The 14,607-nt window shown below is 37.1% G+C and overlaps 1 protein-coding gene across 1 annotated transcript in view, besides 2 other annotated features; it reads right to left on the bottom strand.

The window, feature by feature from the left end:
* IL1RAPL1 (interleukin 1 receptor accessory protein like 1) overlaps positions 1–14,607 on the bottom strand; it is a 1,369,273-nt gene that overhangs the window by 1,329,458 nt on the left and 25,208 nt on the right. The window lies entirely within an intron of this gene.
* Positions 1,165–1,785: an enhancer, noted in NCBI's record as "OCT4-NANOG-H3K27ac hESC enhancer chrX:28643593-28644213 (GRCh37/hg19 assembly coordinates)". NCBI's record gives its function as "activates a minimal SCP1, AML or CMV promoter by ChIP-STARR-seq in naive and primed H9 embryonic stem cells {active_cell/tissue: H9 hESC(naive and primed)}" and the evidence as "EXISTENCE:reporter gene assay evidence [ECO:0000049][PMID:30033119]".
* Positions 1,786–2,407: an enhancer, noted in NCBI's record as "OCT4-NANOG-H3K27ac hESC enhancer chrX:28642971-28643592 (GRCh37/hg19 assembly coordinates)". NCBI's record gives its function as "activates a minimal SCP1, AML or CMV promoter by ChIP-STARR-seq in naive and primed H9 embryonic stem cells {active_cell/tissue: H9 hESC(naive and primed)}" and the evidence as "EXISTENCE:reporter gene assay evidence [ECO:0000049][PMID:30033119]".

The following is a 14,607-nucleotide window of genomic DNA, read 5'->3' as shown; positions in this document are numbered from 1 at the left end:
TTAAATCTTTATCTTTAATGCTAGATTGAACAGTCAAGGCCATTTTCTTTAGCATTTGCCTCACTTTCCTTACCTGTTTTCTCAATTTAGTTAAAGGGAGCCATGAACTGAGAACTGTTTAAAATGCACAGTTCATAAATCTTTTGATGTGGGAACAATTCAATACCCAAACCACATAGCTGCCAACTTCCACTTCTTCACTTTTGTTCTATATTTTGATTTGGGAAGACACAAAGCTAAGAGAACATGATGTATCCCAGGGAGTGGGGAGAGTATAGCATCAGTTACAAAATAGGGATAGCCAAAAGTCTGATTTTAAGCCAGTTATTAATCTACCTTACCTCATTTTATTAAATTATTCTGTAGATCCAGGACCCAAGAGATGAGAAGAGTCAATCAAGCTATTCATGATAGGATGCTAAAAAGAAAAAGGCACAGAGCAAAATGAATGATCACATCAGGGCGGCTCAGAACAAAAGGCGAAGGTCTGAATGACAGTGGTGCATGGTTTCAGGTAGGTCATAAACAGCTCTTGCACTTTGAAACTGTTATGCTAGATAGAGATTGCTGCCCTTTAGACAACCCCAGATATCCTTCCCAAGGGGGAAAGTATTTGCACACCAGTGACACCAGAGGAGGAGACAATTAAATTTGACACTCAGTAGAGTAGTACTGTTCTGATTTGCCCCTTTGTGAAAAACCTAAGACAGGAGATGGTCCTTGGACTTAAGAAAGAAATTCACTCCTAAGAGTTAGCAACCTTATATGTAATAATTATATAAGAAACACAGTGGCATAAAGAGGGGATGGAGAGGGAGGCTTTAGCTGTATCTTTAACATTCATTTGCTTTAAAAAAAGAGAGAAAAAGAAAGTTGGAGAAGATTTGACAACACATTAACATATGCTAAATCTGGGTGTTGAAATGATTTTGTCATATTTTTCTAGCTTTTCTTTATGTTTAAAATAGTTCATAATAATACACATATAATAAAAAAGAAACAAAAATGTAATGGCAGAATTTATGTCAGCCCACCACAGAGCTTGCTGCCTCCTAGGAGATGTTTAATGATAATACAAAAAGAGATATCTGTGTAGATAGCTAGGCCTATTTTCTGGCCTACTTCTGAATGTCAGGTTTCAATGAGATTTAGAAAGAGACCTTTATCTGGCAGGACAGTGAGTCTCCCAACTCTAACTCATATTTTCTGTATCTTCCTGGTGTTTGTATGTTTCCCCATGGAATGGGTACAAGAAAAATAAATTATTACAGCAACAATAGAGCATAAACTATTCTCTGTGGACTTAATAAAGTTATTATGGGCTTAAAAGCTAAGAAAATAATCCCAATTTCTCTATCCAATATAGTTATAACCTTGGTGAAATAAATAAACTGATTCCCTTATCAAAATAAGCTTGGCAGTATGACTTAGTAGAATTTGAACAGATATTAATAAAGGCATAAGAAAGCACCTATATAGATTCTTGGTAAAACACACACACACACACACACACACACACACACGCATTTTGATTAGCTCCTTTGGGTTCTTAGTCTACTGGCATTTTACACATCTGTCACTTGGAAAATGACCACATACTAAGTCAAATTTGATCCCCTTGCCCCTGAAGGATCTCCTCCCATGACCACATCCCCTAGGTGCATTCAGCACACCTGGCTCTCTGCCCACTGGGCTGTGAGGGATTGCTTCCGAAGAACAACAAGAGACAAGTTAGACAGCAGGGAAGAGCTGCCCTTCCCATGTGTTTGCTAAATACAAAAGGGCAGGTGAGGAGCATACAGTTCTGTGAGCAGGAGGCCTTCTGCCTTACAAATATGTAGTTTGAAGCATTCGAAGGAACAAGGGCCCAGTAGGTGGCTGATCTGCTGCCTCTCTACTCTGTGTGGGCCCTTAAATCCTTTCCTTTGAGCTCCCTAATATAGCTCTTCTAAGGGATAACTATTTAAATAGAAAGCTCCCACTGTTTGGCAAGTCAAAAAGCATCAGTTCACTGTTCTAACAGCTCTACAGCAGCTCTGAAAACACAGAGGAGATGGGTGAGCAGGAATCCCCAAAATAGTCTATTTGATCTACCAGAAGTCACTTAGTTACAGTGCTGCAATTGAGAAGCGAAAAGTCTTTCCTCTGGCCACTCCTTTTTATCATTAATATCCTCAGAGATATCCAAGTAACAGGTTACCTTGTAGAGACTCTGCTCCTTGCTCACATGCAAGTAGGACTTTGCAGTGATCCCATCCTATAATTCAGGGCATTTCTTTATGATCCAACTAAAGTACTATGCAAAGCTCCATGGAGAAGGTGAGGAACCTTAATTCACTTATGGTGACATAATTATCCTAAAGAAAGCTTTGAAAGTGTGCAGAAATTGATCCTTAAATAGGGTATTCATATTTAAAAACTAACTGCTGTCGGTTCAGAGTCATTGGGGACTACAAAAAATGTGTGAGGAATTACAGGGGAAATCAACATACACAAAACAGCTAAAAGGATAACAAAAACAAGTACATAGTTTGATACTCTGTGCCGTGTTGCAGATTATAGATTCCGAGTTCAGATAAGAGAGAGATTACTGACAGGCAGATTGATAAAAGCTTCACGGAGTTGTTGACAAAGATAAAGGACTTGAGGTTTGATGGAAAAGGTTCAGTAACATGGAAACAGGTCTAATAATGGGAATAAAGTAAGCTATAAGAAGAAAAGGCCGTGACCAACAGGTAGAGAAAATGAAATAAGTTTGATCTGTGGGGTGCATACGCATGTGTACGTGTGTCTAGTCGGTAGTTGGATAGAAGAGGAGTGAAGATTGATGTCATCTGAGGGTCGACGTGACTCAGTTATAGTTTGTCTAAAGAAGTTTTGGCTAAAATACAGCAGGATTTCATCAAAAGTAATGCTGTGGGACATAAGATGTTGCCAGTTTTCAGAGTGTTTTTACCTCTTGGTAAATAAAATGGATATTTGAAAGGAGCAGAAATCAAACACATCGTGTGTGGTTTGAAGTCTGCTTTCCCCCATTTGTCTCAGGTGTGACGATGGAAAAGAAAAGTAAGAGAATTATTTTATCTCTAACCATACTGTAAACATTCACAATTAACTAAAAACTACTAAAGGAAAACAAATTTGAAGATAGAAAAAGGCAAGGAGGAGAAGCAACTGACGTGCACATTTGAAAAATGTGACCCTATTTTCTAAACTCTTCCTAAAATATATGAAATGTTCAAATTAATTTTTTTCCTTCCCACAGTTGAAGGGAAACAGCTTAAGCCTGTGACTTTGTGTAAGAGGGTATAGCAGCAAGAAATGAAAGAAATACCAAATGTCCCCAGTGCCAGATGACACTGAAGAATTTCTAAAATGCAGCCTCAAAGAGTTTTTTTTTTCTGTTTTGCTTTTGGTACTGCTTGTTAAATTAAAGGACATATAAAATCATTCCAGCCACTGATAAACAATCCATGACAATGAAATAGATATATATTCAGGACTTGTCTGAACACAGGACTTTGCAATTGCTCTTCTGTTGTGTCATTCAGACACAGGGCTCAATTTCACAAAGCCAGATGTTCAAGGTTTAAGATAAAACTTATGAAGGAAAGAATAAAATGCCATTCCTTAACCAATAATCCAATGTTCTGTTTTTCTTCCATTCTCATTTCTACCAGCACAGTGCCACGTATGCAGGTAATAAAGCTACACTTTAAACATCGCTGCTGTTTGAGAAGGTTTTAGCCTTCTCAACACCTTCAGCCTGAATCTGCCTGTCCTGCTGCAAGAGACACCCTAAGTAACATAAATTGATTTGCTGACAATGGCTTCTGACCTAGTGCCAAGCCATTATGGAATACCCGTTGCGATAAATTCCCTGAGTTTGGTCGCTAGTACAAAACAATTCATAACTTTATACATACATAACAATTCTCTCCTTGATCTGTACAAAGAGGTTGAATGAAAACATTATGATGTGACAAGGACGAAGGATGCACAGACAGTATAACGGCTCTCTCAGAGAGTCTCACCTGAGCAGCCCTCAAATGGATATTTTTATGGCATGACCCATATAAGGAAACCCAGAGGATAACTTTAGCATAAGTGCCACAACCCAAAAAGCAAAGGTATATATAGAGAGATATATAGATATATATCTCCCTAAGTAACTAATTAATTTCACTTGAAGTTAGAGATGTGTTTGTTTCTGAAATAGTAAAGGAATGAAAGCAAGCAAATAGCTAGCTTTTCTGCCATTTTCCATGAAGTGAAAATTCAATCACTGTATATCCTATTTTTTTCTACACACAATTATTTAACTCTCAGTGCTAAGATATGAACCCACTACACAGCAGATATTGGCTTTGGGGAGATATTAAATATTTGTTTCTTTAAGAAACTGAGAGTCAGAGTAGAAAATTAAACGTGACAAAATAAATGAATATCCAGTAGCGTTCTTAAATTTGATCTTCAACCACAAATGGGATTTTATTGTTTAAAAGTCTTTGGTTGGTGATTGAGTTTTCTTGGTGATTTAATTCACAGAAAACAGCTGTGATTAGAATCAATTCACTTGACAACACAATAGCATTTTATACCCCAAGTAATGTTAACTGAAAACATGAAAAAATGCATAGGTTCCATGGCTGCTTTTAGAACTTTGTGATAGAGCTATAACCCACTTTTGCTGACAGCATTACTTCTCTCACTGATTAATAAAAAGCATAAATGAATTTTATGATCACATAGATAAAATTTTACTGGAAAATATATATTGCTGTTGTTGGATTCCATTTATCTTCTTTTTTTAAAAAAACAATTCACTAATAAAACCTTTGTATATTAGAGGAATAAATGTGCTACAAGTTTAATCTAACCAGAGAAGGTCATTTCATTTTTTTATTTGGTGCAATTTGGTAATGTTTGAATTTGTGACCACAAACATAAATTTCTTAAGCAATAATAACTTGAAATGATACTGTATCTGAAAAAAGGCCAAAACAGATACTATATGCAAAATATGTTAGGGAGATTGGTTTTATTCTAGATCATCAAAATCATACATCTTAATTTTAAAATATTGAGAGAAGAATATTCAAGAAGACGATTTGCCCATGGTTTATATTTTTTTCTCTTTATTTTCTCAACTAGGTTTAGTATTCTTATAGTACTTTTCTAGCTTAACGTTGTATATTTAGATGTGAAGGGAAAGGCACAATAGGAAGCAAGACTGGCAAAAGAAAGCACATTAAAGCAAGAAGGGGGTAAGGGAGTATGGGATAGGGATCTGCCACCTGCCTCTTCCTTCCTAATTCCAATAATATATTAAACAATACAAGTGGCTCATCTAAGATCGTAAATTAATACTGATGCTGTGTTTTCAGTATACATTGTCTATCTATGGACATGCATGCATTTATTGAACCACTGAAATATGGTAAGTTCAAGAAATGTGTTGTGTGCTATTAAAAATAAATAAATAATGGACATGGTATGCCTCCTTCCCTAAAGACATTCCTAGTCTGCTTAAGGACTTAATATTAATCCACAATGAACAATAAGAAACTAAAGATTTAGTTGGCAATTTTGCTAACATTGAAACAGTAAAGCAGAGAAGTGAGTGACAGGATTAAGATACAGGTGTCAAAGAAGAATTTACAGAAAGGTTTTTGCCATAGAATTTGTACTTTTAAGTTTGCAAAAGAATGCGGTCTCCAAGGTAGCATAATACAAAGAGACATAAAAGACTAAGTCAGAGCCTCAAAAGTGCCACAGAATTTGAGGTAAGAAAGAGGAAGGTGCATTGCCATGTCAAATGTGGCATAGAGTGGTCAGGAGTAGAGGGAGGAGATTGAAACAATGCAACGAATGCCTCCAAAGAGCGACTGAAATTTTCAGTAAAAAAAGGCCAAGAAATAACCAAGGAAGTAACAGACATGAAAAGTCAAATATTCAATCATTCATTCAGCAATTATCTATGTAGCCTGTGGTATTTTCCTGGCACTGTATTAGGTACTGGGGAAGCAATGGAGAAGGAGAAAGATAGTGTCCGAGCTTTTACGGAACTTTGATTCTTGATGGAAGAAACAAACAGATAAACAAATAATAAAATACCAAATAACAATAGGTGCTCTGCAGAGAATTAAGAGAATTAAGATGTCATGTGAGGGACTAGTCAGATACTTTAGTCTGGTAGTTAGAGAAGACTTCTCCAAGGAAGAAACACTTAATGAGGCCTTGTATTTCAAGGGACAGCCAATGTGAAGAGCAGGGAAGATGCAGAGAGGACAGCTAGGGAAAAGGCCCAAAAGCAGAAAGTGGATTAAAGACTGGTCTGGATGGAGATTAATAGGCAAAGAGGAGAGTGATATACAATGATATGAGATAGATAGACTGGGCCCAAGATAAAATAATGTAAGAGCAAAAGGTAAATGAAGTTGATGCCTTTTCAACTATATCATGGTCTAAATATTTTCAGACTCTTTTCATATGGGAATTTGTTTTTCTTTTCCTCTGTACTAGATTGGAAAGATGGAATGAAAATCTGCTTTCTCACCTTCTTGGAGCATTGAAGGATTAAGCCCTCTATGAATACAAACCAAAAGGGGATAAATCAGGCTCTGGGTTTAATGAGCCATCAAAATCCGTGGTGAAAGAAATAGAGGAAAAGTCTGAAGGAAGACGCAGAATATCTTAGAAAAGTAAGAATGCCAATGGGCTTGAGACTCACAGAGCCTCATCACGTCCCAATTCTTCCTCACCATCGCCCAGAGGAGAAAGAGATTACCCTGACATGAGGGGCTTGAGGGGTGTAAAATCTGGCAAGACCAGAGATGGGGGCCTAATTCTTGGAAAGAAACCAGGACTCCAGAGAGGAAGACTGTCTGGTGACTATACTGGGGAGACAAGAGGCATTCCCATGTGAGATATTGACATGCAATGGAAAACGTTTATTTAACAGAGAAATGTAATATATTTCTGGCAAACCTTAGTTTATGTTCTTAGATTTATTTCTGTAAAAATACTTAGGCAATTTGAAGTGTATATGATCTTACTGGATGTCTAAGATGGCATTTCCCAAAGTTCAGTAGGATATAACAAAGCATTATGGAAAGAGAGTGCCTATGGTCAAATGTGTCTACAAAATCCTGGGTTAAAACACTTTAGTGTTTTTTTTTTTAAACTGCAGGACTTCTCAGAGCCTTTGGTTATACTTATCATTGTGAATATCCATGTAAGAGACATAGAAGCAGCATGTTCCAAAGTTATTTCATCAAAGAACCTTCTTTATGCCCCCCTTAGAATATTTCATACAACTAATCTCCCAAGCAAAATGCATTTGGATAGAAATGCAAAACTACATGGTATCATCTACTAAAATATGACTTAGGAAATGGAGACAGTGAACAAATGCAATGTAAGTTAACTTGGAGACTCAGATAACCACTGCATAAGAAAACTTCAAAATGTTAAACTTAATTTAGCTCACCATGGTAGTTCTTATTGTAAATTATGCATGAATCATGTAAAGAGAAGCAAACGTACACAATCAAAATCATTCTGTAAGTATTATGACACACTCAACCATTGGTATTTGTGCGGCACAACTCAGTTAAACAATTTTTTTTATCTTTTTTTTTTTTTTTTTTTGGAGACGGGGTCTCACTCTGTTGCCCAGGCTGGAATGCAGTGTCGTGATCTCAGCCCACTGCAATCTCTGCCTCCTGGGCTCCAGCAATCCTCCCATCTCAACCTCCCAAGTAGCTGGGACTGCAAGCATGTGCCACTATGCCGGCTAATTTTTGTTTGTTTGTTTGTTTGTTTTTGTAGAGATGGGGTTTCACCATGTTACCCAGGCTGGTCTTGAACTCCTGGACTCAAGCGATCCACTCGTCTCGGCCTCCCAAAGTGCTGGGGTTACAGGCGTGAGCCACCATGCCTGGCCTTCAGGTAAACAATTTTATAGATGCACTAATCAACCATCTCCTATTCTAACCTCTTTAAAAGAGATAAGAGTTGACATTTTACATCATGTTCTGTATTTTCCACCACCATTTTTATAAATTTCTAAATGTATAGAATAATGTAAAGGATAAGAGGGACATATGGTAAAGATTAATGTAAATAACTTTTATTGCATCTGTTAAAATTGGATACATAAATCCTTTAACTTAGTGAGTAAAATAACTATTGAGTCTACAAATGAACCTGCAAACTTCTTTGAGTAGATCCTGGAGTCACATACCACTGGCACTGGCCCTTCTCAGCCACTTCACCCCTTCTTGCTTTGTTGGAATTCCCTGTGAGGAAAAGAAGGTGCAGCCAGCAGGATTACATTCTTGCTGAGTCCGTGACTCCACACACTGTAAGTACCCTCCCCTTCACCACCCACAATATTATCTCAAACTATCTTCAGAAACATGGGAGCTCCTCCACCTCCTGCTGTAGTCCACCCACAGAATATTTAAGTGGCTTAATGTGGAATCTGGCTTCTCAACACCCTGTTAATAAGAAATTGAAAAGTTAACTTTATAATCTCAGAATAGGAAATAAAATATAATTTATAAAAATATGTTTACAATTACATTTCCCTAGTAATTTTGAAAAAAATGCTGAAAATTAAAGTTGTTCTTGATCAAATATTCACTTGGTCCAATCCAATAAGAATAATTTTTGTTACCCAGATGGTCAGAAAGTACAATTAAACCAAAGTCATGTTAGAGCAATACATAATGGTTATTGTTGTAAAGATAAGATAACTTCCCTACACTGTGACTCTCCTAAGAGCTTTATTGTTAAAATATGTATTACTGCACTATAAGATATTGAAAATGTAATAACTTTAGTAATCCACGTATTGTGTATATTAACTTAACCCAAATATTCAATTTTCATTCTTCTAAGATAAAAGCAGGAGGCAAGAGTACCATATTGCTTCAGTTTAGAATTATTGTGTATCAGTAGAACACTGAAAAATCAGATATCGTTTTATGTTTCACACCTTGAACAAGTAAGATGTAACTATCCCAAAAGAAATTCACTTTCAAGTCTAAAGCAGAAAGCAAAGTCCTGATAAAATCATGTTTGCAGAAACTATACCACTGAAATGTCACAAAGAGATAAGCAGAATCATACACTTGAAGAGACAGGTGTGAAAAAAAGATATCTATTCTCTCAATATTGTCATGCAGTGCTCACTTACCCCTGTAGGTTCAAGAAAAATGGAGATGTCAAAGACATGGGAGGATGACACAAACCATTCTTTAATCTAGCATCTTTTAAGTAGCCTTACAAGTGGACTGGAAGGTTGAATGGGATAAGAAAAAATGTTAGTGATATAGGGATGTGTATAAAGAACTGATGAAGATAAGGCTAATCAGGCTTCCTACTTTGAGAATATTAAAATGCTTTGAAAAATTTCAAGACTGGAAAAAATAATAATAATTTCTCTCCTGCCTCTTTCCCATTCAAATTACTTGAATCTATCAACATATGAAATTCCAAAATATTAGTCTATTTCTGTAACTATTCTAAACAAAGCCAAGGAAAGGCTGTGCCTATAATCATTTGTATTTCCTAGGTTCAATTGGATAGTAAGATCCCATATCTGGTTAAACTACAGTTTAAAAATAAGTGATTCCATTGAATGAGCTTTATCAATGAGGATTGCCATTTATCAAGCATGCTCTATGAGCTAGCCTCTGCTTGCTAAAGGCTATATTTGAGGTCCCATATTTGGGTTGACTCTTTTAATTCTCAAAGCATGCCTTGATGCCAGTATTATTATCATCCTCATTTTAAAGATAAGGCCATATTGATAATACATGGCAGAGCTGAAATATTTCAAGAATAAAAATATTAACAGAATTATCATACAATCCTTCATTTTAATAGAATTTAGAAACTGTAGAGAACAGTATGGCGAAAGTAGGGACTTGTCAATGACAGCCTCTTCCCCAAAAAGACTAGTGATAGGAATGGCATGGGGGTGGGAAGGGGTAGTAAGGGGCTTACTCCCAAATCCACATAAGATTTTATAATAGGAGACTACAGATGAATCAGCCATTGTAGCACCTAAGGATGTTAACATCTTTTTCTTTTTGCTCCTATTCTCTGTTCCTTTCCACTGCCTCCTCCTCCAACATTATTACTGTTGGTTTTGTTTTTATTCCCCAGGTATTTAAAACATTATTGAAAGTTTTAAAGTTCTCTGAAACATCTCTTGAAATCCCTTGTGGAGGAAAGCAACACAAATTTGAAGCCAAGATATGAAAAACAAACTTGTAAAGTTTCACAATTTTTGAATACTTCCCTGTGACTGATGTAGTTCTGTATTCTTTAGCTCTCTATGCATTCTCATTAGTTGTCTTCCACTGTGGATTTAGTTATGGATATCTCCTTTTTTGCTGCAATTGTTTAATTTACACTGAAATTCATTCCAATTAAAGTTAGATATTGTTCTAAACTGATGAATGAGTAAGGGATTATGAAAAATACCCAAATACAAATAGAAAAATGCCTTTTCTGGCCGGGCGCGGTGGCTCACGCCTGTAATCCCAGCACTTTGGGAGGCCAAGGTGGGTGGATCATGAGGTCAGGAGTTTGAGTCAAGCCTGGCCAAGATGGTGAAACCCCGTCTCTACTAAAAATACAAAAATTAGCCAGGCATGGTGGCGTACGCCTGTAGTCCCCGCTACTTGGGAGGCTGAGGCAGGAGACTCCCTTGAACCTGGGAGGTGGAGGTTGCAGTGAGCCGAGATCGTGCCATTGCACTCCAGCCCGGGTGACAAGAGTGAAACGCCATCTAAAAAAAAAAAAAAGAAAGAAAAATGCCTTTTCTACAAATAGAAACCTTCACGCTTTTAAATGTAAATTCTAGAAAATAACAAATCAGCCAGGATGCTTTGATCTGTACATAAATCCAGGAACAAATAGTCGTTTTCTAAGCACGTACCAGAAAACAGAAGTGGTGAGAAGTCTCCATGGAGCCTGTAAGAAGTCTACATATTCAGACCCTTTCAACTTCATTTTATGACAAAATGATAGGCCTGAAAGACATCAGGAAAACTACAAATGTAATCTGTCCAAGAGCCCTTAGTCCTTCTGATATGTTTTCATATGACATGCTAATCAACCATTTTGAACTACATATGTGAATCTGTCAAATCCCCTGGGGGAGTGCCTTTCTCAAATAATAAAAACGAGGAATTGGATGAAGCAATGAACTCAGGAGCTCCACTTCTGTAAAGATCTAAATCAATAAAGGACCACTGATCAGTGAATATGGCCTTAAACACAATTATTATTATTACTATTATTTAAGTATTTTTGACATTTTAGTTTAATGCAGCTTGAATGCTGGTGGTAGAAGGGGCCTCGCTTGGGTCTCCCAGTCAAGTTTCTATTACTAAGAGGTGATGTTTGTGTGACTCTCCATTCTTCCTTTCATTAAGCAGCTTTGGGTATGATTATTGGCATGACTTCCTTTATCATATCATCAATGTTCCAAATGTAGAAGACGTCTGGTACCTCACAGAAATAGATGCAGCCACAGATCTAAGCGACTCGCATTTAAGAGTTAAATCTGCAGGTGACCCCTACACGCAGTGTCTGACCTTCAAGCTTCCATGGCCTTTGAGGGGCTGGCTGAGCTGTTGGCTTCACAGGGAAACTCAGCAGGACAAGGGCCTGTTGATGGCTTTTATCATCCATTGAGAACTTGGAAGCATGTTTATTATTTATAGGGCTATGTTTCAAAAATGCCATTATACTTATTTTTAAACTGACTTTTACAAATTAATGTATATGTTTATATACACAATCGAGCTATAGTATTTCAACTAAAGGAATACATCCTTTGGCAATTGGTTTTTAGAAGAAAAATTATGAAACTATAATATATTGCTAATACCTAACTCTTATTAACTACTTGCACTATACTACACTGTACTAAGCTCTTTACATATGTGATCTCTCTTAATATTAATATCAACCCTATGAGTAATTTCATTCAATTTGTAGGTAAAAAAAAAAAAAAAAAAAAAAAAAAAAAAAAAAACAGACAACAGTTGGCCAGGCGCAGTGCCTCATACCTGTAATCTCAGCACTTTAGGAGGCCAAGGCGGGCAGATCACGAGGTCAGGAGGTCGAGACCATCCTGGCTAACACAGTGAAACCCCGTCTCTACTAAAAATACAAAAAAGTAGCCGGGCGTGGTGGCGGGCACCTGTAGTCCCAGCTACTCCGGAGGCTGAGGCAGAAGAATGGAGTGAAGCCGGGAGGCGGAGCTTGCAGTGAGCCACGATCTCCCAACTGCACTCCAGCCTGGGTGACAGAGCAAGACTGTGTCCCGAAAAAAAACAAAAAACAAAAACAGACGACAGTTTATGTAAGTCACCAAAGGTCATAAAGCCGGGATGTGAACTGTAACACAAGCAATGGCCTCTAGTACTCTTATCCTCACTAGTTCAATACTAGTATTGTACAACTGGCATTGAAATGTAACTTAGGGAGGTCAATATTCGAAGCACTAAAAATTCCTATCTTATCACAGATTTGTTAGTATTAGTAATTTATTAAATTATTGGTATTTTGAAACACTACTGTGTATCGTCGTGTAGGTCATATGTGGCCCATCATCACCAGTATTTTAACTTTCATCTCCTATTTCTCAATATTATTGTAGAACACACTTGCACTGAACATGACTGCCACTGAAAATCACCACATTAACAAAAATCCATATTCTAATCAGAAATACAAAAATTATTAATGCCCTATAATGAAAGTTAATAAGGTATCATTTTAATTTCTCTATTTGAAAAGGTCTTATCAACATTTAAATTGTGTGGTGTTTTAATGAAATATCTGCTAAAGGTAGGAATTGTGTGAATATGTGTGTGCTCTCTTTAGTTCCAGGAAAAAAAAAACTATTACACATGGAACCGTGCAGTGTTTTTACCTCCAAGTTTTTTCATTTGGTCAAATCTCAGCACTTTGGTTTTGTGGAAATTAATTTTTAAATGCATTTCATATTTCTTTAAGCTAAGTTTTTCACCCAAGAAAACATAAAAAAACAAGAACGAAAGCTTATGGTCTGCCCAAGAGCCTAAGACATATAGCCTATTCTTTCCATTAATTTTCCATGTAATTGTTTAGGAGAAACATGCTCATAGATGACCTGTTTCCAGCAGGTTAAGTACTGCCTTCTCTGTTTCAGTGATCAAAGGAAGACAAAAACATAAAAATGACCAGGAGAAAGTATGAGTAGCATAAATTAGTGGCAGCTCAAAGTTTGGGAGCTAAAGAAAATTTCTGAGGACCTAATGCTTCTGTGATGTTCTGTGCCAGCCTATATTTAACTTGTGTTGAAAAGCCCATGTTCTCTCAGAGTTAAAATTAATCTGTCTCCATGGTGAGTTCCAACAAAACTGTGGCTGGTTAGCTCAGCAAGTTAAAGTATGGCAATGATAAAATCTGATAAGGTCAGAAAACTGCCTTCTGTCCCGTGGCTGGAGGTGACTCCTTAACTTTAGTCTCATATATGGGCACTCCATAGACCTCAGAGGAACTGGGCAAGAGAATGTGGATGGTTCAGCCAAAGACAGTCACCTTCCCTGGAGAAATAACTCAGGTCTTTCACAGACTAAAGGCTCTTCAGTACAGAGCTTCTGTCCAAAAGGAAAGAAAGCACATTCTAAACCACTGCTTTTCAACATGAGTCCCAAGGACTACCTTTATCCAAATTTCTACCGATGTTTTTAAAATGCAGCTTCCCAGGCCTCAGGCCGTCCTTCTGAATCAGAGTCCCTCACCTTTGGTTAAGGGATTAGCACTTTAGAAAACTCACCAGGGGATTACTGTTTTCACCAAGATTTGAAAACCACTGGTCTAATACATGCCCTGTTTCCCACAGGCTAATAGATTTTGTATCCAGTCCCATGTTGCTGATTATCAAATCTGATACACAGGACAAACAACAGGGCCCAAAGTCAAGAGGACCAGGACTATTTGCTAATTCCAGCTCAGCCACTAATTAACAGAAGATTTTTAGTTTAAGTCTAATCTTAAAATAAAGGCAACCTGAGCCATTATCTCAGCTGAGCACTGGTTCTCAACTTACAGCTGGGTTTTCTTTCTCTTCTCTCCCAAATCACACTGAAACACTTTTAAAGCACACAACAAATTCCTAGTATTTACAGTGATACCCTCCACACAGTTAATCATCATAGATCTATATGACAAGAGTCCCTAATCTTCCAAACTGATAGGCAGAAATGTTACGAGATTTGCCCAAGATATTTTTGATAGCATTGCCATTCAAACAAGCATTCAGGTTTCCAGGTTCTAATTTTAACTAATATATGGTTCAATTTCTCCCCACTGAAGAGAAAAGTTTCCATACTAGCCATTAGAGCCTGTTGCAAAGATAAAATGATATAGTATATATTTTCACAGGTGTAAAAATCCATCTTTTATAGCCATTCTCTACTAGTGTTTAAAGCTTTTTCATCTCTATGACTTTGCTCATAAAGTTTCCTCTCCTTAGAATACCTCTCTTCACCATTTGTGCACAACAGTGTTCTCATAATCATCAAGCACTAG

This window comes from Homo sapiens, chromosome X (genome assembly GCF_000001405.40).
Source record: "Homo sapiens chromosome X, GRCh38.p14 Primary Assembly".
NCBI classification, from domain to species: Eukaryota; Metazoa; Chordata; class Mammalia; order Primates; family Hominidae; genus Homo; species Homo sapiens.
Note: the sequence above shows the minus strand (reverse complement) of the source record. Positions and strands in the feature narration are given on the sequence as shown.